Source organism: Homo sapiens, chromosome 14 (assembly GCF_000001405.40).
Source record: "Homo sapiens chromosome 14, GRCh38.p14 Primary Assembly".
NCBI lineage: Eukaryota > Metazoa > Chordata > Mammalia > Primates > Hominidae > Homo > Homo sapiens.
In genome coordinates this window covers 30,423,514-30,449,826 of record NC_000014.9, presented here as the reverse complement: position 1 = coordinate 30,449,826, position 26,313 = coordinate 30,423,514, and the positions used below count along the sequence as shown (strand labels likewise).

General features: G+C 38.6%; 2 long non-coding RNA genes across 4 annotated transcripts in view; both read left to right on the top strand.

Moving 5' to 3' along the window:
* G2E3-AS1 (G2E3 antisense RNA 1) overlaps positions 1-11,835 on the top strand; it is a 139,366-nt gene extending 127,531 nt beyond the window's left edge. The window contains exon 4 of the long non-coding RNA NR_151720.1: positions 11,656-11,835. This is a non-coding gene — a long non-coding RNA (G2E3 antisense RNA 1). The remainder of the gene's footprint in view (positions 1-11,655) is intronic.
* Positions 1-26,313, top strand: part of LOC112267868 (uncharacterized) — a 96,358-nt gene that overhangs the window by 24,711 nt on the left and 45,334 nt on the right. The gene's annotated exons all lie outside the window — the stretch shown is intronic.

Genomic DNA, 26,313 nt, shown 5'->3' with positions numbered 1-26,313 from the left:
TCAAATCTTACACTTAATAAAAGGAAATTTTATGCAAACAATGAAAGAGAATTTCAAAGCAGTAAGTGAGGGTGATGCTGGTTTGCCTTCAGGGGCTAGTTAAGCTAGAGGAGTTTATTTCTGATCTCCATACTTTCAGTATCATGATCTACCGAGGTCTTGGCAGCCAGCTCTACAGAGAATAGCAAAGGGAGCGAAGACTAGCTCCCACTAACATATATGAGGTACAGGTGTGAAGGAGGATGGGTCACATTCCACTGAGAGGCTTATCTGGCCATTTCCCCAGCTTTGTAGGTGTGCTAGGCAAAATAGAATAGTGGCTAAGAAGGATTACAGAAACTGGAGTCAGACTTGCATCCAGATCCCAGGTCTGCACTTTGCTGCTGTGTGACCTCACCTCTCTAAACCTCAGTTTCCTCATCTGTATAATGTGGGTAACATTAATACCTGCCTCATATGATTGGAGGATTTAGTGTGTTAATACATATGAAGGGAAGCACTTATAACAGTCCCTGGCATAAAGCAAGGGCTATGCACCCATTGTTATTACAAGGGCTATTACTTTTAAAATGTGAACTAGGCCAAGTGCAGTGGCTCCCACCTGTGAGCCGATGTGGGAGGCTTTGGGAAGTAGAAGCAGGAGGATTGCTTGAGGCCAGGCCAGGAGTTCAAGACCAGCGTGGGCAACATAGCAAGACCTTGTCTCTACAAATACATTTAAAAAAGTTAGAGGGGCAGTAATGTGTGGCTTCAGAGCCAGGTTGTTCTGGGTATAGTGACAGGCTCCCCATCATGGGCTGTGTGACTTTGGGACAAATTACTTAAACTCTGTAAGCCTCTATTTTCTTCATCTGTAAAATGAAGATAATAATAAAATTCACTTCACAACTTCTTATGAGGCCTCAATCATCCTGTGAGGATTAAATGAGATTAAGCATGTGGAAAGTATTTGGCATTAGCATCTGACACACAGTACCTGGTAATGGAGAATAGGGTCTGTCAACCTCATCACTAGGAACATTTTGGGTCAGATAATTCATTGTTTGGGGGCTATTATAGTCCTGTGCACTATAGGATGTTCAGTAACATCCCTGTCCTCAATCCACTAGATGCCAGTAGCATCCCTCCTCCTCCCCACCGCCACCCCAGCTGTCACAACCAAACATATCTCCAGGCATTGCCAAGTGTCTCCTAGGAGTAGGGGAAATTTGTCCTTGGTTGAGAATGAACACTATAATAAGGGTAAGGCTGAGGGAGAGGAAGTTTACTGGGAAACAGGGCCAGCCACGTGTGATTTTCCTCTTTGATGAAGCTAGCCTGTTGTCAATGGGAAGATGAAAGGGAAAGGATAAATTCAGAGGAAGTAACTATTGTGTCCAGTTCCTCCTAAATCCTGGGGGTGGGGCGGGGGCTCTTTAGAGGTCTGTAGTTACAGAGTCTAGGGATTCTTCAGGTGCTTCAGAGCTCTATGTCTTTCACTAGCTTTCCTCCCAATTGATGGGAGCCTCCTGAGCCCCGCTCCCTTTGTCTCAGAGAGCATCCCTTGTTAGAGGAAGGCCTGTGAAATAAGACCTGTATCTTTTGTTTCAATTAACAAAGCACATTGCAGGAGTGAAATTGCTAGCCTCAGTCTTAAATCTTGGAAGCAGGTAAGGAAATCAGGGCTATGTCTTACATTTCAGCCTGTTTTTATTTGGTCTTGCTTCCTCTTATTAATGGGCCTTTCTGGTTATTCCAACTGAAACGAAGATAAAATGATTTAAGGATTAGAATGGCAGGAAACAGAGTAAAATGGTTTTGCCATATATTCAACAAATATTAATCAGGAGTTTATCATAGGCCAGGCACTCTTCAGAAGGTTTGGGATATATTTGGGGACAAAACAGGTAAAAATACCCCCGTCCTTCATAAAAATTAGCTAATCAAATGTTTGGAGTAGTAATAGCCCTATTGAACAAGGATGTGCATATGGGCTAAGATTGATCTCAAACCCTATTGACTCCAATTTCCTCTTTCACATCCATTCTGCTACCAATTTTCCTTCTCCTCCAGACTTCCTGCCTTTAATTTGCTGTACTATGGAACAGAAATGCAATAGGTGAGCTGAATATAGCTTTTTGAATGTAACTCTTCTTTCTGTCAGTTGCAGGCTTGAAAGATGAAAAAGAGCCATCCTATCTTGATCAAAACAGATGTTTGCTCCCAGGTTAAAAGCCTGGTCTTTATGCCATAGGCTCCAGGGTGCTTGAAATCTCTATGATTCTCACAATCACAGTTTTGGGGATGACAAATACTAGTGAACCCTCCCCCTTTCCCACCTTTGTTGCACAGCACATATAGGTGAGCCACCCCTTGGACTGTTTTCTGCCCAAACTTTCTCTGCTACAGTGTCTCTGTGGCCACATAAAAAAGTTTTGACAGAACAAAATGCAACTCCAGTTAACAGGCCAAACTCTGAGGCTAGGATTCTAGATATGTTGGCACATTAGTCTCCAAGGAATAGCACATAGTCTTGTGGAGAATGCACCATTATTTTGGATCAAAAGGTTGTCTACTTCTCTGTGAGCTAGATATTGAATATAAGTGGGAGCTAGATTGAAAAAGAAAAAGATGATTATGAGACAGAACTTAGTGCCATCACTAGACCTCCTGTTTGTAGGAACAGTTCCTGGGGATCCATCATCAGTGTGCCAAGCAGTTATGGGTTGCATTTCAAAAGAAACTTAAGGCAGGAGACATACTTGGACCCCAAGTTTAGGGGTGGAAAGAAACGAGAGACTAACAGGTGTTTGATTTTGTGTTGCTTTCCAGCTTCTTGGCTGTTTACTTTGCATTTATTTTATGACAATATTTACCTACCATAATGTGTAACCTACTATGGAGAGAAGTTTTCCTATTTAAACTCATATAGAACACTGAATTAAAAGGTACTAATGAAATTTTTCATTCCATATTGCCCCTGCCATACAAAGCACAGTTTCTACCATCAAAAGGGTTATTAGCTGGCTTGGAAAGATTTGAAAATCATACTGAGACACAGATTTATAGTTCTGTAAGTCAGTTTGAAAATATTATGTGGTCTTCGCATGTTCTCACTCATAGGTGGGAATTGAACAATGAGAACACTTGGACACAGGGTGGGGAACATCCCACACCGGGGCCTGTCGTGGGGTGCGGGGAGCAGGGAGGGATAGCATTAGGAGATATACCTAATGTAAATGATGAGTTAATGGGTGCAGCAAACCAACATGGCACATGTATACATATGTAGCAAACCTGCACGTTGTGCACATGTACCCTAGAACTTAAAGTATAAAAAAAATTCATCATCTAAAAAAAAATTACGTGGTCTTGCAGTCTTAGCATCTAGTAATTGACCACATATGGCCATTCAAGCAGTCATTGAACTTGGTCCACAAATGTGCAATACTTGGGATTATTTCCTGCAAACTTAATTAAGGGAAAGCAAGTTTAGACAGTCTGTAGAGGAGGAAAATGTGTATCTTCTGAGCCTTTTTTGTTCTGTGACTCATCTAATATTTCTTCTCCTGAATCTTTAAGAAGTCAGGCTTTACTTAGCTCCTTGCAGCAAAGCCAAGTGGTCTAGGTAAAGCTTATACAAGATGATAGGCCGTGGTGAGTAGAGAGGGTATAAAGGGTTGTGCTCCCTTTGGGGAAGGGGCAAGTCACATTTTCAAGCGAAACAGAAATTTGCTGCAGTAATTACCCTTTATCATTAATGACAGGCAATTGCCATAGCAACTGGCTGCCACCTGTCTCTCACATACCAGCTCTGCATGCCCTGAAACAAAATAGGAGCACGCTGCCTAGTCAGTTGTGGAGCCACAAGTCTGAAGTTGGGATGGAACTCTGTATCGATATTAAGATTCAGCTAGTGCCATGCATGGTTCTTTGTGTTCGTGGAATAGTAAATAACAGCGCAATGTAAGAAAAATGATTTTTAAAAAGAAAACAAAAGAACAGTGACCCAGGATAGTGTAATGGTTAAAAGTACAGCTCTGAGTCAGAAGAAAGCAGAGTTTGAACCCTAGCTTCTCCGCTTACTGGCTGAGTGACCCTGGACAAATGGCTTAACCTCCCTAAGCATCATGAGGTCAAACTCATAGGCCGTTGAAAGGATTAAGCTGGATAATGTTTGTTAAGCACTTAGCCCAAAGTGAGCACTCCATCAGTGGTAGCCGAAAATGTCCACTGCCTGGCAGCAAGGTGCACTGGGCACATGGCAAGGGCACGATACATAGTTCTTGTTGACTTAGTGAATTAGATCACTAGTAACCATTACTCAGGGAATTCAGGTCTCCAGGTTGCATGCTGTACAAGCTCTCTCTCTTCTTCACTTTTTATGTATGTAGGTGCACAGAGGCATATAGAGACAGCCTTTGAGTGATGTAATTTTGATTTTCTCCACATTTTAGAAATGTGTTCTCAATACCAAAGAGTTCAGCAGGTCATTTACTCTTTCTAATGACACTCTATATAGACAAAGCTCAGTGACAGCTGAAATTAGTTTTTCTTTTGAATCTCCTTGATTATGTCTCCAACCTCTTTAGCACTCTTCTTACCCCCTGAGTCTTGGCACTGTGCTAAGGCCAATTAGAGACGTTAACCACTCGGTGCCTACAGTAGAGGCATTTTTTTTTTTTCTCATCAGGGTGGTGAGACCATGCCAGATTTTCTTTTTCTTTGACCTCTATGCCAAAGAAAATGCTTAGTAACTAGGACTGGTGTTATAAGTTGTTCACACCCCTTTCCCTAATATTTATCATATGATGGTAAAATAAATTAGGATTTGTCCAATCCTAAACTGTATTGCAGCACATAATCTAAAAATCATAAACATTTAGCTAATAATTGTCTGAATGCTATTCTAGACATCAATCCCCTATACCAGAACTAGGGTCATCCTTGGTACCTCCTCCATCATCCAGCATATTTGAATTGTGCGATTGTCCCCTCTTAAACAGCCTTCTGCTCTCTGGTCTTCTGTTTGAATTCATTGCTTTTTCTTAGTCCAGGCCTTACTGTCTCCCCCCTGAATTGCTACAACAGCCCACTGGCTGGTCTTTTCCTCTGCTGTTCATTTTCCACACTTCAGTCAGCATGATTTTATAAAATGCTAATGTAATCATGTTACTAAAAAAGAAGTTTTAGTGGGTTTTCATAACCTCCATGATAAAGATCTTCAGCCATCTGCTTCTGCTCACCTTTCTAGTCACATCTTCTGAAGTGATGACTTTTCTCCAGGGATACCAGCCTACACCAGGCCATTCCATGCTTCTTGTTTTCGTCTAGGCTTTCTTCTATGTGAAACACCCTTCATTCTTACTCACTTTTCCAAGTCCTACACAGGCATTATCTTCTGTTTGAAGATTTTCCATTTACCTATTCTCTAAATACCTCCCTCCTTTGTTACAGTTCACAGGCTGATCATAATTCCATTGTCTTAAACAATATTTAAATCTTCCCTATCAGACTACTCGTGTCTTACGGTAAGGTCTGGGTCTCACTCATTTACGATACCCTTAGTGTCTGATAATATAGTAAGTCCTTAAAATTTTGTAGATGTAAAACACATTTTTAACATTTCTATAAATAACATGGTCTTTTTGTGTATTGTGCTAATAAAAGAACTTTATTGGAACCATGTTTTTCTATCATTCATGGATTGCCATACAGGATTCACAGAATTGTTGGCTTGCTGCATCCTACTTTGAAAAATAAGTGATGATATAGTTCTCTGCCTCTCATAACTAAGATTATTTTTCATACCTGATAAATACAAAAACTGCTCACATAATGTTAAAAAAATTAGGATATAAAATTATATATTTATAATAACCAAACTTAGTAAAAAAAACAACACCAACAAGAATATATTATGAAGCTTAGAAGAAAAGACATACAATATCACTGGTGTTTACTTGCGGGTGGAAGGATTATGGATAATTTTATTTTCTTGTATGTTTTTGCGTATTCCAAATTCTTTACAAAGACCGTGTATTTTATAATTAGAACAGATTTGTTCACAGTAATTGGGGTGGATTTTATTTTTCTTCAGAAGGCTTAGCTAAATTCGCTCACTCTTGTTACTTAGCAAAGAAGGTAGGGAATTGATGATTTAGCCATCTTCTAAACACTTTCCCTTTGCTATAGGATTTAAAGTTAACTCAGGAAGGTAGGCTGAAGTCGCTATTTCCACTAGATGTCACCAAACTACTGGCAATAGTAGCTCAAACGCTCTGTGCATATTCAGTTTTTAGAAACATTTAAACCCCATTATTCAGTATTCCTCGTTATCACACAAAGCATTTAAAATTTGAAGAATTAGTAAGAAAATGCATATTACATAAGGTTCTGGCCCTTTATATAACAAGTGAAGGCTTATATGGATCTTTTGACTTTATGTAATCCATATTTTATTAGCTTCTTAATATAAATGTGAGGAGAAAATTAATATCAGGGGCCCTGTTTAAAATGCTTAAAAATTATTTCCAGATGATTTTCAGCTCTCCTTTTATATAATACGTGGAGTAAAAAAAGGACAGAATCCTGCAACTCCTTTCTGAACAATATTTTTTAGCCTAATATAGCTTTCATCATTGAATGTCTTTTAGTCATGGTTAATGAATAAAAATCTCTTATAGTATTGGGATGATTTTTAGGACATTTTAATTTATTACGGTAAAGCTGTTTATAGTTCATTTTATATGTCAGAAAACAAAGGAAATAACTTTTCCTTGAGGATGAAATAGATTTCTTTTCTCTAATCTAACAAAGGGCAGCTAAGAGAGCCATGTTTCTTTAAATGTATGAACCTGTTTACTGTGTAGATTAAAAATCGGTCTTTTTTTTTCTGATTGGCTCAGTTAATAACTAGAGTGAGGGGTTAGAGGAAGCTTGTTTCCAGTCATTTTGGCATACCAGTGAAAATGATTGGCCAGTCAAAAGACATTTAAATTAGGCAGTGGGCTCTTGGAAATAAACCTTTGTACTATATTCTACATTATTGCTCTCTACTGTGGTGTTTGGTTTTTTAAGATGTGTGGTACTATTTTTCTTAAACTTCACACGGGACAAGCCATAACACAACAGTTTGTAAACAAAAATCTGACTAAATTTTTTAGATTGTTTCTTTTTCTAAAATGTTTTTTTTCAATTGCTGCCCTTTCAAAATAGCAGAGGCTATTAAATAATTCCTGTTCACAGGATTTATGACTAAAATGCCTAATTTTAAATTTCTTCTGTCCTTTTAGATGGCTGTTATAACATATTCTCAGTGTAAAAACTCAAAAATAATAGAGAGCATTACAGATGACAACCATGGGTTTACTTGTGATAAAATAGTCACTCTTCGTTCAGAAACAATGAAGACCAAACCAAATCAGCAAGCTCCCATCAGCATCCACATATCTTAGGTAATTTCTGCAACATTTTTAAACAGAGGAAGATAAATGACATTGATCATCACATTTCAAATGTTATCAACCCAAAACAAATCAATCTGCATTGCATCAGGTATCTTAACTTCCATGAACTAGAGAATATTAGGGTTGCCATTATAAATCTCATCTTACTTTGCTTGGTGAAAAAACCATGAATTATAAGCACTATATAGATACCATGGAAGGCAGAATAGCTTCAGTATTATGGGATTCTAGCTTCTGCAAGTATTCATCAGTTACAACCTGAAATTTCTGTGGTTTGTGTCCTAAACACTGTTTTGCTTGTACAATTCCATCATATAAAGAAATCATATCTGTGTTAGATCCTCTTGCAATATTTTAGTATGTAATTGCAATTGAGTTCTGCTGCCCCAAGCATCTCCTTCAAATTTCTTTACCTGAATCTTTCATATGAAATATTCATCTGAGTCACTCTGATATGGTGACAAGCCTCTATTGTGAAGTGGAAAAGCCATTTTTGGATGTTCCTTTCCAGATATCCGGATTTGCTTCTTGATAGTACTTGAAAGATGAATAGCCTCCATCAGCTACATACAAGGCCTGATCAGTTCACCCCCTCGACATGTTTTAAAGTGTTATTATTCAATGCCTTCCTTTTCTGTGGCCACGAAAACTCCTCTATTTTAACTCCAAAGCATAGTGCATTTGTCCCAATTATGTTATTTTTGTATTCACCATCTCTTTGCTGCAAATGATTATTGCAACTGTAGGTGGAGACAGGATTTTTACTAGTCGGCTGTCATCCATGAAATTACTTAGGCCCCTCAGAGTCTAAAACTGCAGCTTCACATCTTTTGAAATAAAAGTTCGTTTTAAGGTGGGTTAATTTCTTTAAAGTTATCTGTGGTAATTTGCTGCAGTTGTTTAACTTCCTGAGTTTTAATGAATGCTCCAGGGCAAACTTGATGTGAGGGGTTAGTTTTTAGAAATAAAAGGTATTATTATCCACTCAATTTGGTAAAAAAAGAAGTCCGGCACTAAATTTTATATTATGGTTTGCTTTGGGAATCAGCCATGAAAATTTGCTCAGCTCATTGCTAAAGGATATTGAAACACAGTTCTCGCCGACATGGTGTCATCTGTAGTGTGGACAGAGCCTTCACGCTGACAAATACTGCATGAATGCCTGTTGGAGCCAGTAGGCACTCCTGATGATTAACTATAAAAATGCTTTTGACTCTGGTTGCTGACAGGAATGACAATGCTTTGGCCAGACTGGCCTCCTTCTGGACACCAAAGGATGTTCCAGTCTTGGTTTTACCATCTGGTTTCAATACAAGCCAGGAGCAATGAATAGATGTCTTAAAGAGGCAGCAATATACGAATTATTCTGGCTGTATAATCTTTCTTTGATAAGTGAAAAAAGTGTACTTAGGCCTGGAGAACAACACAATGGCTTCTGAAATTCTAATTTTTAGGATAGATAAAGGTGTTTTGAGCATCTCATAAGGCAAGGGGATCTGATGGTATGAGTCCCAAATAAACCTTATGTGGAAACGACAGTTAAATGCATGAGCTTGTATTATGGCGTCGGTTTAGTGTCTGAAGGAAGACCAAGCATGCATTTTATAGGAAACACGTCCTTCTAAGCAAATCTAAATCTATCTAGTCAGGGTACAAGAATTCTTAGCCTTGTAAATCATAGTGAAAGCAGCAACAATGATATTTATTGATGCTTTATAATTTCCAAAAGGCATTTAACTGGATTGTTTCCTTTGATCTTCACAAAAATCTTGAATAGGATAAATAGATATTTTCATACCTTCAATTTACATACAAGGAAAAAGTCAGAGAGATGAAATAACTTATTCAAGGTCACACAGCAAGTGTCAGGGAACAGGGGTCGGGTGGGGGGAGTGAAGGAACGCTAACTCTGGGAACTTGTCGCCAAAGCCAGTGTACTTTCTGCTACCTCACACTGCCACATTTCCTTCCAGCAGCATTCTCTTGATACGAGGACAGTTAGAGTGATTCCATGACTACAAATTCAAGAATATAATATTGCCTTATTCTTCATGTTACTTGTCATCATTTTATATAGAATGGTTTTTATATCTGAGTCTCAAATACCATGGACTATTTGTTTTACCAATACGACGATGAGAACTTGAATTGTGTAGGTATATGGCATAGACTAGAATTGATTTGGATGTGAAAGTGTGCAGAATGCCTGGTGCACTGGGGTCTTGAAAGGGCTTATTTGCAGAGTAGTGTTGCCTGAACAATGCTTGGGACAAATCTCAACATTTCTCTGTCCCAGAGTTGCCCCTTTTCTTATTCCTGTCTGTTATATCTTACATCTTTAATGTAAACTGAATGGTACTTTCATAAAAAGGAGAGAGTAATGATAAAGGCAAAGCTATCTGAGCAAAAATATTTTCTTTGATGAGACATTTGGCTAATATCTGGGTTAAATGATTTCCTGATTATTACTATAAAAATAAAGCCAGGGCATAATGAAAACACTGGAATCCCAGCCAACAGTGAACTGAAACTGACCTATACTGTCCTAATTTGTTAAACCATAATTAGACCTCTCTAGAATATTCTTTTAAAACTTAGCTATGGTAGGGGATAAAAGTAATATCTTTTTCCTCACCCACCACAAGGCTTATGGCTGAGAGGCCTCTATAACCAAAGATGGGTTAATGAGAGAAAAGCATACACGTTTATTTAATATAAGCTTCATGTGGTACAAGCGCCTTCAGAAACGAAGACCCAAAGAAACAGGAAACCCGGTGCATTTTTATGGATAGTCATGCAAAAGTGTGATTGGAGGATGAAGGATAAGACCTAATAATAATAATAATCTGGGGGGAATTATCAAGGCCTGTTCAGATTCTTTTATGTGCCTCTGTGTCTTCAGGCATTTATTTCCTCTTGGTATAGGGAGGACCCCTTTGGAATGGGGGTCTCATGACCTACTTCAGGAGAAGATCAGCTAGGTTTTATGGCTTGCACTGGGGGAGAAGAGAGGAGGGGGAGTCCAGTTTCTATGCTACATTTCAGGGGAGGGCGGACAGGAGGTCAGAGAGACTGTCCTGCTTCTGCTGTTTTCCTAAATGCCAAGGTGCTAGATTTTGGGGTACCCTATCCCGAACCCTGTCACTACACAGAGAATCAAAGTTTCTCAAAGCCTGTTTGAATGTTGTCAAGTATATACTTACATGTATACATCATAATATAATATACACACAGATATACATACATATTTACTCACATTTATATGTTTTTAGATTGCAAAGCAAAGCAAATCTGGGGTAAGCATTAAAGTGTTTTTTGAGCAAGTTGAATCAAAATATAATTTTCTTTTAACTCAAGTCTCTGCTGTTTAAAATGGGCATTTTTATTTGCCAGTTTTAAGATGTCGCATCTGAAGAAAGCCTCATTCCCTCTGGAGGTCACAGGCAATAACTGGCCCCCTGTGATTTGGAGGAGTTTAGCCTCTCAAGCAATTGCCTTTATAGTCAAAAACAAGTTGAGTGTCTGAAATAAAAAGGGTCATTTTAAAGAGATTCTTCTAAACTTGTTGGGAAGTCTTGATACAGAGCAACATTTACTCCTCTCTTGGGGAGCAGAGAGGGAGGATGGGGACCTGTCTCACAGCTGAATCACCTGGACAGAACCAGGAGACCTGTCTGGTGACAGACACCAAAGCCTGATCTCTCTCACATCTGCATTTCTCTAACCAGATCAGGGAACTCATTGAATCTCTTCTTGTGGCTGACAGTCTGTAAAACCTGATGTCTTCATCTGTGGCACTAGGTTAACAGTTGGGCTCCTTGGGCCTCTCTCTCACTATGAAATCTCACCTTTAGCCACCTTCACCACCCCATAGTTTCCTGACTATGCCAGTCATTCCTGATCTGATCACCAGTTCCAATCACTTGGTGATACTATTCTGCTGTCTTGTAACACTCACTGCATTTTCTCTTTATGCAAATCCTTCCCATCTTTTAGAGAACAGGTTTTGCTGTCAACCAGACCTTGGATGGAGTCCCACTTATTTTGCTTACCAACTATGACCTTGGGAAAAATACCGTCTATGTCAGTAAATGAGAATAATAATACATAACTATTGGGTTGTTTTGAAGATTGAATAAAATAATTCTTGTAAAGTATTCAGTATAATTAACACATAGTAAATAATCAGTGAATGTTTTTATTTCAGAACTAAGGTTAAACCATGACCACTCCTCGAGGCCTTCCCTGGAGATTCGGGCTCATAGATTCCTTCTTTCTCTGAATTCTAAAGTACTTATGGAAGATTCAGCAGATAATTTTTAATGAATTAAATTTTAATACATCAAATTACTTAATAATAAAATTTAATAAAATTTTCAGTATTCTCCAGAGTTGTTACATATGTGTTAGTTTTCTTTCCCTGATTATACATGTGTGTTAGTTTTCTTTCCCGGATTACACTATAAATTCATTGAGATTATGAATCATTATTTATTTATTTTTTGGAGACAGAGTCTTTCTCTATCACCCAGGCTGGAGTGCAGTGATATGATCATAACTCACTGCAGCTTTCACCTCCCAGGCTCAAGCCATTTTCCTGCCTCAATCTCCAGAGCAGCTGGGACTACAGGTGTGTGCAATCATACCTGGCTAATTTTTTAAATTTTTGGTAGAGATGGGGTCTCCCTGTGTTGCCCAGGCTGGTCTCAAACTCTCAGGCTCAACGAATCCTCCCACCTCAGCCTCCCAAAGTGCTGGGATTACAGGCGTGAGCCACCACACCCAGGTGAATCATGATTTATATTTTCAGTATATACTCTGTAACAAATATGCTGGTATATAATCATGTTTTCAACAAATTATTGCTTGCTATTTAAAAAGACATAGGAATGTGCCACAGGAATATGTCATAGGAATGTGTGAGCTAGCAGGCCTATTCAGATGCACAGAGATAGAGGTTGGGGGTAAAGATGTGGTGAGGGTAGAGAGGGAAAGAGAAGGAAAATGATTTACCACCTATATTTTGTAACAGGCACTCTGCTAAGTCATCTAATATATTACTCCCAACAACTCTACCCTATTTTATATAAGACAAAAGTGATGCGATAGCATCCCTGTTTTCTCATCTGAGACTCAGGGTAGTTGGGTAATTGGAAACCATTCTGAGAAAAGCTGGATATAGAACTATATCCAGAACTATACAAACCAAAACTACATGAACTGGCAGTCAAGCTTAAGAGCTTCTCTTTACTAGCATCATTTGTCTTTTAGTTCTGCATGCTCCTTTCTTGGGCTTGGCTTCTGGGTCTCCATTGCAAAATGAGCAGATGGTTCTTGAATTTTTCCTGCTGACCTTGAAGAACTTTCTGAGGGCTGCCTTCTTCAAACCTTCACCTGAGTCTTTTAGTTTTGGAATGCCCCTTAAAGGACAGCAGGTGACAGGGAAGCTGATTATTTCTGCCTTCATGGGCTTCGATGCTGGTGGCCTCTATGGAGGCCACTCCCAGCTCTTGTCTTTGGAAAATCTGGATCAAACAAAATGAGACTCATGGTAGCACAGTTTCTATTTTCTGTGAAAATCAAGCAGATCAACTCAGTTCTTATCATACCATGAGCAAGTACCAGGATGAAATTTGGCTGTGTGTGGACAGGTATCAGGATGAACTCTTCATCCTTATTTTATCTGTTTTCCCCCCATATCAACAGAAAGCTTATCTAGTTTAGCAACAATGCACCTTCTACTAATCGGTAAATATTATGTATAAATTACAAGCATTCTGAGTTTATTCTGATTAGTCATGTTTTTAGAAAATGTGTTATAGATTCACAGGGCTGGAAAGAACTCAGAATTCTGGTATTTTGAGGCAAAGATTCCAGAGACAGTGCCTATAAAAATTGAATACATACACTACCTATATCAGGAGTGGTGGTGGTTGGAAGTTAATAATTAAATGTTCAGATACTTGGGACCCTATTGAGACCTTCTCAATCAGAATCTCTGCAAGTAGAACATGGGAATTTGCATTTTAAAATAAGCACCTTAGGTGAGAACTGCTGCTATTGACTATGTCACCCACCTGATTCTGTTTACCAGCAGTGGCCTCCAGAATGAATGAGAAGCAGGGCCTTTGCCCATTTCTGAAAAGGTGGTGCTGAAAAGGCGGTGCTGTTTGAAAAATGGATGTGCTGGCTGGGCGCGGTGACTCATGCCTGTAATCCCAGCACTTTAGGAGGCCAAGGCAGGCAGATCACCTGAGGTCAGGGGTTTGAGACCAGCCTGGTCAACATGGTGAAACCCCATCTCTACTAAAAATACAAAAATTAGCTGGGCGTAGTGGTGGGCACCTGTAATCCCAGCTACTTGGGAGGCTGAGGTAGGAGAATTGCTTGAACCTGGGAGCCGGAGGTTGCAGCGAGCTGAGACTACACCATTGCACTCCAGCATGGGCAATGAGAGCAAAACTCCATATCCAAAAAAAAAAAACAAAAAGAAAAAAAAAGGATGTGCTTATTTATGTTAGAAGGGAAAATATAGATATTTGCTAAACAAACACTGATTGAGCATCTGTTATATATCTGTCCCTGTGGTAGGCAGAGGACAGAGATGAAGTAAGACCTAGAACTTCTTTTAAGTACTTCTCAGATTAGTTCTAGGTACAAGCCAATTCACAAATAATTACTATACAATTGGATATTACTATTGGGAATTGTGTATATTGAGGAAAATTAGACAACAAGCATCAGGAGTTTTAAAAATGTACATGGGTAAAGTAATTTCACTTCTATGAATTTATCCTAAGGAAATAAATATAGTCGACTAGGTGTTTAAGAGAAAACTGAAAATTATTTACTATAATTTTACATGTACTTTCTCACTGGAGTCTCACAAGACCCCGAAGAATTAGGAGCAATTATATTCCTTTTACAGATGAAGGAACTAAAGCTTTGAGATGACAAGTGGTTTGCCCATGAAAACACCATTAGAAAGTGACAGAGTTAATGTTTGAACTTCAGTCTGCCGTGCACTCATGATTATACTCTTAACTCCTGAGGTTTATCCTCTAAAGAATACAGCTGTGTGGATAGTTGTTGCAGAGCTACTATTTTAATGTAAAAATGGGAAACACTAGAAATGGCCAGCACTGGGAGATTGGTTAAACACATTATGCCATAGCCATGTATGGGGTAATATATTCAAATATCAAAAATTATACTAGAGATGAGTAGTGTGTCCCAGCCAGGAATTTAGGCCAAGATAGAATATCTTTTCAAGTGGTCCATTGTATTTTATGTGAGGCTGTTTCCGTGTGGTTGTATTAAGATAGAACTCCAAGGTTGGAAAGCTGAGTATTTGTTTCAGGGTTGCACCAGATCCTTCCAGTTCTCTGAAACATAGGACTTCTAGATCACTGGATTCCAGCTGTGTTCGTTGAAGGCCCTGAAATCCCATGGTTATCTCTGGTGGTACAGAGGTAACCATAAATAAAGAGTTGTGTTCCCGTCAATCTAACCTAACTGTGGATGCCCAGTATCCACCAAGGAGCTCAGCAGGATGACTCTGACTTTGAACCACTATTTAACTGAATAAAGAATGATGGGCCGGGCAAGGTGGCTCACGCCTGTAATCCCAGCACTTTGGGAGGCCTAGGCGGGCGGATCACGAGGTCAGGAGATCGAGATATCCTGGCTAGCACAGTGAAACCCTGTCTCTACTAAAAATACAAAAAAAAAAAAAAAAAAAAAAAAAAAAAATTAGCCGGTCGTGGTGGCGGGTGCCTGTAGTCCCAGCTACTCAGGAGGCTGAGGCAGGAGAATGGTGTGAACCCGGGAGGCGGAGCTTACAGTGAGCCGAGATCGCGCTGCTGCACTCCAGCCTGGGCGACAGAGCGAGACTCCGTCTCAAAAAAAAAAAAAAAAAAAAAAAAAAAAAAAAAATGATGGAGTGCAGCTCCAAAGCTCAGGACCTTGCTGATGGTCACTTTGACCACCAGAGTGCAAGCTGTTTCTGCAGACATGAGCTGATGGGGTGATGGGTTGTCAGGTCAGCATACATCTTGCCTTGCTGTTTTAATTTGTATCTGATTTTGACATAAATGGTAAAACACCTTGAGTTCTCAGTGGACCAGGAAGAAGACATTCACATTAAAAAACACAAAATGCTGCACTTGTAAAATGTAAGATTAAGTGAACAGCTGCGTACTTACAGTATATTCTCAATTTGCTGGAGTTTAACTACTTAGAGTCCTCTATTAACTGATTTGGATATTATGCTCATGGGCATTCTCGCCAATATTATGAGAAAGAAGTGATTTACAATCAGCAAACTTGTTTCAGGACTATAATTTTTCTTTTAATAGCAAGACTAAGATATTAACATACACTAAGTTCAATTCCTCTTCACTGAGGATGGAAGTTATTCTATACATTTAATTGAATTGCTCATATTTTTAATTTCATGGCCTAAAACAGGAAGTATATATTGGTTAATGCTGAATTGATCAGACTAGTGAGTCAGCTAGAAGATTTAAATTCTGTAAACATTCTAAATCATTGGATTTGTATTATCCTAGCCAAATTTATTGCTCTATCAACAATCTGTTTTTGAGAAATAAAAGATGAATATTAGGGATTTATGTCTCAGGTATGATCAATGCCCACTAATTCTACCAGACAATGCCTCAGTGTTTTATTTTCCTTTGCCCGTGAAGAATGTGTGTGTGTGTGTGTGTGTGTGTAAATACAAACATGTATCTCCTTGTTTTCAAGATACAAACATAAATAAAGACATAGAAAGTTTTCTTTCTAATTGTTAACTGTAACAGCACTGAACTTTCTGTGACTTAAGATGAAGCACTTAATTATACAAGTCACATTATATCATCTGTGTTTAAACTGTACTTAACTGTATCTAAAATGAAATACAACATATTTATGTTTCTCCCCTAGTTTATTATAAAGTTTACACTTTAGAATTTTTAAATAGAAAACGTTTCCCAGAACTAGGATTTGTATGTGTTCCTTTGACTTAGCTGCAAGAATCAATCAGATCATGTTAAGGTGCACAATAAGGCTCTTTTTGAAGCCTGTTATTAAATATACATAAGAATAGACTTTTTTTTATGTGTTCAGAAATAAAGAGAAAGAAAGTGTTCTGTGTTTTTGAAGATTGAAATCCTTCAAAGCTTTTTTCATTTGCAAGAAAACAAAGGGCTATTGTAAATTGAAGTGCTGAAACAGCGACAGCAGTGAAGTAATTAATTGCTCATTCATGAAAGAAAAAGTATAAGTGAGAGGCAAAAGTTAACCCCTCAAAATAAAGTGTGTGGCTAACTGAACACCTATCAGCTCCTCTGTGTTTAAACACAATGGTCCTCTTTGTGCTGCAGGTTGTTTTGTTTTGAGGCCTGGTCGCAATTGTTGATGTCACTATATGTATTTTGGAAAACAGACACAAGCATGCATCTATAGATTTAACTTTTTTCTCGGAGGAAGAACTTACTGGCTATGGTACTATATTGTGAAAGCCAAGGTAAGGAATATTCTATAACTAGTGTCTAACACTTTTAATACATTATATTTATGATCATCTCTGTGATTAGATGATCTAATTAAAATATATGTGCAGATGTACACACATCTATGGTGGAAATGATTAAGCTTCCAAGGGGCTGTGCACAAGTGCCAGAAATGGAAGACTACATAAGATGTTCTCTAAAACAGTCAAATTAAGTGATCAATCCTATTTAGAAAGGTTTTTCAATATACTTTATGCCCCAGGGAATCTTGCTCCAACCAAGAGCTGTGGCTGGTAGCTACCATGTCTGCATTTACAACAGCTTGAGTTATGTCATCTCACAGGGTTTAGGGAAATTGCCACCAGCATAAAGCAAATAATTTCCTCCCTCCGATCCTCAAGAATTGCAGAAAACTGTAATTTCTCATTATTAAACCTTCTGCTCCATCCCATCCTGCTGTACCTTCGAACTGTGAGACTTACAATCACCTTTCCATCTTAAGCATAGGTGTATATGTATTTTGATGTGACAAAGTCACACCTCGTCGTCAGCAGTATAACATCTTCCTAAGGTGGTGGCAGAAATCCGAAGCAGATTGAAGAGTGGCTAAAAAGTTCTCATCATTTTAATATTAAAACCTTGACTGACTTTACCTACAAAGGTTCACAAAATCGAGTTAGTTGGAAAATCAAATATTCATTTGTGTTTTATCCAAAATATTTGTTCACTTTACCTGAAAGAGTCTGAGACACAGTCTCCTGAATTTCAACTCTAAAAGTTAATTGGGGAGGTCTTTCTTGGATTGCATTGATTTAATCTCTTGAGCTACCAATAGCAACAAAACATAGACAGGAATTTAGAATCAAGTATAATAATAATATAGATAATAATAATTCTATGCCAGGGTAAACACAGTTCCCAATATATGAACATTTTTTGAGCAATTAATTTCATTTGTAAATTTACATTTAAAACTCAGAAGCTATTTTTTTTCCATGAAAACACTGTGATAAATGGTTATTGAGTTTCCTGGCCAGTAGGTGAAATGTATTTGAAATGCAGAAGGCAATTATTATTTTAAACATTATTAAACAATATTAATATACTACCAATTAAAAATATTAATATTAAATAATTATTAAATAATAATATTTAAAGAGTATAATAAAGAAACATGTATTCTGAATGCCATTGAATATCAGGGTAGGTCATTTTCCCCATCCCCAAGTGGAATGGGAGAACTCCCTCTCCCATCTGTGGGCAATAGGACGTGGAGTGCTGTGGATCAAAGGCACTGGTGGTGGCTCTTGTGATGGAGAGGAAGTTTTGGCAGAGAGAGGTTGAAGGAGGATGACCTGAAGGATTAAAATGGGAGCCAGATAAGTGAGATGTGCAGGGTGAAGGGAAGGAAGGGGATGGTTGGGGAGAGATAAGGATCGCCAGGGGTCTAAAGTTCTGACCTTATCCTGACCAACGTCCTGTCTATTGCCATAAAGGGAGAGAACTTTTCCCTCTAGAAGGAAAAGAACATTGTGATAATGGTAATGGTAATGGTAATTACCAAAGGGAAGGAGACTTTCTATCTTAGTCTAGATAAGGAGCTAGTTGCATGAGATATAAGTAAGTTGGGGGCCTGTGATGATTAATTTCTTTTTTTGAATATTTAAAATTCTAGCAGCAATGCTTAAGAGAGAAATTCTTATAAAACAAATTAAGATCACATTAATATTTCACATTCAACAGATAGCTATTGAGGGCTTCTTGTATATAAGGTGCGAGCTAGTTTAAATTCCTTTAGGAACTAGTTGAGTAAAAAGCGATGCAGTAGAAATTTTAAATTGGAAAATATATTCTAGTGATTATGTTTCTTGACTCCAGGGTTTCCAGTAGTAGGGAAGATAGTTTTCACTGCCTTATTTTGTGGGAACAGTGAGGCTGAGAAGGCCTTTTCATATGTTCTGGTGGGCAGGTGTAGCCAGCAGTAGAAAATGAGCAACTGGAGCGGTGGTGAGACGCTGGGGCAAAGAGTTTCAAGACCTCCAGAAATCATGAGTTAGATAAAATCACCCAGGGTTCCAGCAGATAAAAAAGGTACAGAGGGCTGGGTGCGGGGGCTCATGCCTGTAATCCCAGCACTTTAGGAGGCCCAGGTGGGCAGATCACTTGTGGCCAGGAGTTTGAGACCAGCCTGGGCAACATGGTGAAACCCCGTTTCTACAAAAAATACAAAAGAGCCAGGCTTGGTGGTGCATGCCTGTAGTCCCAGCTATTCTGGAGGCTGAGGTGGGAGCATCGCTGGAGCCTTGGAGGTCGAGGCTGCAGTGAGCCAAGATCGTGCCACTGCACTCCATCTCGGGTCACAGAGTGAGACCCTGTCTCAAGAAATTGAAAAAAGGTGAAGAATACAACTTTGTGGGGATATCTATCACTTAGGCATCAGGAGGAGGAAAAAAGGTGTTCAAAGAGGTGAGGAGCAGAAAATTACAAGAAAAAGATAGTCATCATGATCACCACATAAAAAGTTTTATTTACTTGGGGCACAAACAAACAAACATCCACCCACTAGATCAGTATCAAGGAAATTTTGGATAACTTTTGAGAGAAACATTTTAGTGTAATAAAGCTGGGTGCCAGATGGCAAGGAGCATGTGGCTGGTCAAAAACGGGGCTTGGAGAGAAGAAAGGAGACAAAGGTCATTGAGGGAGTGATGGGATCTTAGATAAGAGGAACTTAAGCAGGTTGAGAGGCCAGCATTTCCCAATGTGTGATTTCTGTGGAACACTGTGCTCTTGAGAGATAAGCGGATGCTCCATGGTCAAGTGAGTCTGAGAAAATACTCGTGAACAAAGTTAAATAGGTTTCTTTATTGCAGGACTGCTTAGGGCCATTATTGCATTGATATGAATAAGAAATATTTGAGAGATATACAGTTTACCAGCTTTTTGACCAGGGAGAGCTTTTTTGCTAGAGCATTTCATGGCATTAAATTATTCTAGGCACACATTGTGAGACATGCTATTACACGCCAAGGGATAAGTTAAGGTAAAGAAATGCATTAAGACCGGGCGCGGTGGCTCACACTTGTAATCCCAGCACTTTGGGAGGAAGAGGTGGGTGAATCGCCTGAGGTCAGGAGTTTGAGACCAGCCTGGCCAACGTGGTGAAACCCCATCTCTACTAAGAATACAAAAATTAGCTGGGCATGGTGGCACATGCCTGTAATCCCAGCTACTTGGGCGGCTGAGGCAGGAGAATTGCTTGAACCTGGGAGACAGGTTGCAGTGAGCTGAGATCATGCCACTGCACTTCAGCTTGGGCAACAGAGCAAGACCCCGTTTGAAAAAAAAAAAGATGCATCAAAATGCAAAGGTGAACACTCCACTCTGCTACCCAAAAATCTTCAGTAGCTATGTAGGGCCTAAAAGATATATTAATAGTTCATATTTCTTTCTTTCATTGTGTATTTTTTTCTTACTGAGATATAATTTATATAGCATAAAATTCATTATTTTAAAGTGTATGATTCCATGGTTTTTAGTATATTCACAGAGTTGTGCAACCATTATTACTATCTAATTCCAGAACATTTCTTTTTCCCTTTTTTTTTTTTTTTTTTTTTTTTTGAAACAGGGTCTCAGTCTGTCACCCAGGCTGGAATACGGTGGTACAATCATAGCTCACTGTTACCTTAAATTCCTGGGCTCAAGTGATCCTCCCACTTCAGCCTCCCGAGTAGCTGGGACTACAGGCATGCCCCACCAGACCTGGCTAATTTAAAAAATATATATGATTGGTAGAGACAGGATCTGTCTATGTTGTACAACAGGTCTTGACTCCTAGGCTCAAGTGATCCTCCCACCTTGACCTCCCAAAATGTTGGGATTCCAGGCATGAGCTACTATGCTCAGCCTAATTCCAGAACATTTTCATCACCCCCTATCAAAAAATAATAATAATCCATATCTGCTAACAGTCACTCCCCATTTCTCCCTCCTCCCAGCCACTAGGAACCGCTAATCTACCTTATGTCTCCATGCATTTGCCTATTCTGGACATTTCATGTATAAATGGAATCTTACAATAAATGCCTTTGTGCCTGGCTTCTTTCACTTAGCATAATGTTTGCAAGGTTTATACGTGTTGTAGCATGTATCCATACTTCATTCCTTTTTTTTTGAGATGGAGTCTTGCTCTGTCGCCCTGGCTAGAGTGTAGTGGCATGATCTTGGCTCACTGCAACGTTTGCCTCCCGGATTCAAGCAATTCTCCTGCCTCAGCCTCCTGAGTAGCTGGGATTACAGGCATAAGCCACTACGCCCAGCTAATTTTTGTATTTTTGGTAGAGATGCGGTTTCACCATGTTGGCCAGGGTGGTCTCAAACTCCTGACATGAGGTGATTCACCTGCCTCGGCCTCCCAAGTGCTGGGATTACAGACGTGAGCCACCAAGCCCGGCCTCATTCCTTTTTATGGACAAATAATATTCCATGGTGTAGATACACCACATTTTCTTTATTTACTGTTCACTTGGTGGACATTTGGGTTGTTTCTGCCTTTTGACTATTAAGAATAATGCTTCCATGAACATTTGTATACAAGTTGCTTTGTGTGAACATTTCTTTTTATTTTTCTTGGGCATATACCTAGGTATGGAATTATTGAGTCATCTGGTAACATAAATGTAAGTTTATGAGGCCCTTTTATTTTGAGTTTTTGAGGACTGCCAAAATGTTTTCCAGGTTGGAATATCATTTTGCATTTTACAGCAATGTGTGATGGTTCTGATTTCTCCACATCTTTGCCAACACTTGTTATTATCTGCCTTTTTCATCATAGCCATCCTAGTAGGTGTAAAGTTTCAATGTGGCTTTGTTTTGCATTTCCCTGATGACTAATGATACTGCACATCTTTTCATGTGCTTATTGGTCCTTTGCATTTATTATTTGGGGAAATGTCTATTCAAATACTTCTTCTTCCCAATTTAATTGGGCTATTTCCCTTATTACTGATTTTTTAGTGTTCTCTATATATTCTTGATATTAGACTCATCAGATATATGATTTGCAAATATTTTCTTCTATTCTGTGGGTTTTCTTTTCACTTTCTGGGTAGTATCCTTGGAAGTTCACATTTCTTGGCCATCTAAGGTCCTCCAGGTCTGCTCTCATTCTGTCTTGTAGTATGATCTTTCGTGATTGCTTATGCTATCAATTCTAACTAGATGCATTTGCCTTTTATTTTTTACAACCATCTCAGTATGCTCACTATGACGTCACTCTTCCCATTGAAAAATGCCTCCCAGTTCCTCTACAGTTTTCTAAATCCTACCTGTCCTAAAGACCCACCTCAAATTCTGCCTCCTTCTTGAAAAATTTGTGGATAATCTTAGCCCAGAATGATCTTTTCATCTTTAAAACTCTTGTAATCTACACTTTTTAATTGTTGCTCCCAAACATTTGGTAACTAACATAGGATATCTCTTATTCTCAATACTTTTTCAGTATACATTTTAACCCAGATGAAGGTGGATCCCTTGGTTTGCATATTTATGTTTAAATATTTGTCTATGAGCTACAAAGAGAGAGAGAGAGGTGGGTTTTTACTTTATTTAAATTTGTTTTGGATAAAGCTCTCTAGTTTACCTTTAAAACAATGATATATGATTGGCACTAAATCTATTCTCTCTCTCACAAATCCATATTTATTCCTGATATTAAATATGTTTAGCAAGCTACCTTTCTTCAATAAAAATAAACATTTGCAGTTTCTAAGTTCTGAATGTGATTCTCATGGAAGAATATTAGCAGGAAAACTGATTCAACTAATTTTAATACCCAAAATGGATACACTGTAGTTTCTTCTTTTTATAATTATATTTATTATTATATGTAAGACAATTAGAGAACAATCTGAAAACGTAGTTATTTTCAGTATTATGATGAGGCTGTCTTTTTGAAAGGAATGTTATAGAAACCAACTGCAATGTAGAGATTGCAAAAGCTATCTGAATATGTGATAGCTCCCAGCAGGATTACTGAGAAAGGAGTGAAGATTAAAACTAGGCTATAGTTCTGGAGAAACAGGTTACCTATGGTTACAGTCATGACTGACATTGTCTAAAACAAAGGGGATATATCACTAATAAATGACACTTAACCCATGGACAAGTATAGAGAAGAGAAGAGAGAACCTGAAGATTCTGACAGGATCATGTCAGAGAAAGATCAGAGAAAATAGCCTTCCTTTCATATTTTTATATTTTAACTAGAAAGAAAAACTTCTATGTTATATTTTGACACTGGTGATGGATGAATCAAGTGAGAAGTTGTACAGTTGCTTGATGTGCTGGAGGAGGAATAGAGATAAATTACAGCTGGGGAGGCCACATCGAAGCCAAATTAACTCAAGATCAAACCACTGTATCAATGATGGATATGAAAGATATTTATGAAGCCAGGCTCTGTGCTTCCCCACTCACCCATACTCCCATGACAAAGGGGGAAAATAAAGGCTTTCTTTGGGCTGGGAGCTAGAAAGAAAACCAGAGCCCTAGGTCACTGAGAAGGGACCCCGCACCATGCCACCTCCTCAGGCAGAGTCCCAGACTGGGGAATCAAAGGCAGAGTCCCAGGCCAGGGAACCAAACCCTGAGAAATAGTTGGCAATCTGAGTGTTGGGGATGCATACTTTATCTTCTGGCAGTGAACCATTACTTTTTGAGGGATTGTGGGCCTGCCATTGGTTGCCAGTTTATGATATTCTAGCCTTTTGACTGGATCCCATTAGGGAAGAGACACCAGCTATGTCCCAGAAGTTCCTTCTTTGCTGAATAGCCATGTGACTCTTCATGCATTTAATAGTGTGTTTCAAAAGTTTCCAAGAGCTAAAATGGGCTGCCATAACCCTTCATCTTTTTACGATAGCAAGATATTTAGCTAACAATAAGGTTACTTAAAGAGTGAGTCTCTCCATCCATGGTGAGGTTTTTCCATTGACACACTGGAAATGGGAAAGCTAGGAACAGAAGATGCCAAGTTACGTAATGAAAGTGAGTGGTGAATTTTATACACACTCTCTAAAAAGCAGCATTATTTCCCTGCCATATTTCACAGTATTAACAGGAATAAAAGACTAATATGTGATAATAAAAGGGTAATAAAAGACAATTGTATATTTATCAGGAAATTAGTTAGGATGATTCATTTATTTTCTTGGCTCTGATATTAAAAATACATCCAGTATTCCTTACAAGAGTACCATAAAAGATGAATGAATTAAATTTCTCTAGGCAATTTTCAGCACTGAGAAAAGAGATGTCTTTTCAAACTAATGACTATTTCATGGATGCAATGGAGAGATATTCAGCATCTGTAATTCTCTTTGGCCCAAGAGTGAAGAGATAAGTAGTAATCATGCCTTCAAGGTAGAATTCATAATCAAATCCTTAATTAAACTCAATATGGAAAGTCTTTAATAAATATCAAAATCTGACTATCAGATTTTCTGGCAAATATTTAATGCTGTGTTTAGTATCTGCTATCTGAACATCACCGTGGAAAAAATTAAGCCTTTCTTTTTATTTACTGGTTACATAGGACCATCAATGTCATATTTAAATGGAGAAGAATCCTATATTTTAATAACACACCTTCATATTATTCTACTTTTCTTTACACATACTTAACAGTTTCTGGAGGAATTTCAATTCATTTTACTATTTTAAAATTTATATTCATTATGTATTAAGTGAATACATGTGGCTGATTCTCTCTCCAAGGAGTTTTTAATCAATCCTCTTCTATTTGTTCAGACCAAAAATCTCATTGTCTTTCTTGACTCCACTTTTTCTTTCATGCCCCGCATCTGTCAGCAAATTCTGTCAGTTCTATTTTCAAAATAGAATTCTATCAATTCTTATCTCTCCTATTGCTACCACCTAGTCCAAGCTACCCTCATCTTTCACCTGAATCATTGTGCTAACCTCCTCCCTGGCCCCTTTTCTCCTCCTGCCCTGCTGCTGTCTGTTCTCAACATCGGTCGGAGGATCCCGCTTAAGCATAAGTCAGATCTTGCCACTCCTAGACTCAAAACCCTCCGGTAGCTTCCCAGCCCACTCTTGAAAGCCAAACTCTTTATAATGGCCTAAAAGATTCTTCATGTTCTAGATCCCCCTCCCTATTTTCTTCCTTGCCTTTATGCCTTTATCTTCTGTTTCCCTCCTTCTCGCCTTCATCTCCCTCCCCACCCCTGCCTCATTTTCTCTTCTCTGCCCACACTGACTTCCTGGTGTTTGTGGAACATGCCGGACCCATTCCAAATGCAGGCTGTCCCTTCTGCCTTGAATGCTCCTCTCCTCCACAGCTTCATGGCCAGGCCCTCCCTCCTACAGGTCTCACTCAAAAGTCATGTTCTCTGCGATGCTCTCCCTGGATTTGGCATCTAAAGTTTCACTCCCTTTCTGGCATTGCATCTCTTTCTTCTTTACTTTATATTCTCATTCGCATGTGTCATCACTTAACATACTGTATCATTTATATATTTATCTTGCTTATTATGTCTTCCCTACAAGAATGCCAGCTCCGTGAGGGTAGAGATTTTTGTCTTATCAGTGCCTAGAACAGTTTGGTAAATACTTGTCAAATGAATGACTGACTAACTGAGATATTTTATTCATGTGGATTAACCTTTATAAAACAAGTAAAATATTTAAATGGTACAAGATTACCTGCTGCATTTATATTGTTCGGAGAGCAAGGAGAACAAATAAGGGACAAGTATTTTTATCCTTGGAAGGCAGTTGTTGGAATTTCTTAGGAAAAAAATGTCATCTTCCATGTACCAAATATATGTAGGCTTCTAGAAAGAGACAGAGTTTCAGATACTGCTTCAAACATGGGAATAATCCATTATAACCATCTTCTTTGAGTTTGAGAACACTAATTTTGGCAAAAAGTTTACAAATTAGAGTAGACTGACGGGACAGGCAGTATAGTGTAGTGGCTAAGAGAGAAGCTCCAAAGTGAGAAAACCAGAATTTGTATTGGAGGTCTGGGGTGCTATGTCTATGAGAATTTGGGCAAGTTATTAAATACCTTGCCTCAATTTCCATGTATGCAAAATGGGCATATTAACAGTACCTGCTTGTAGGATTGTTGTGAAGATTAAATGAGTTAATTCATGTCGACCACTTACAGCAATATTTGAATTTAATGTAGTGCTGATTAAGTTGGAATTAGTATTTTCATCATATTGTTTTGACTGCAGGCATCGTGAAGGCGTGGGCCATCAGGCATATCAAAGGAGATGGTGCCTTGGAAACTGAGGTCAGAGAGGATATGGAATTGGAAA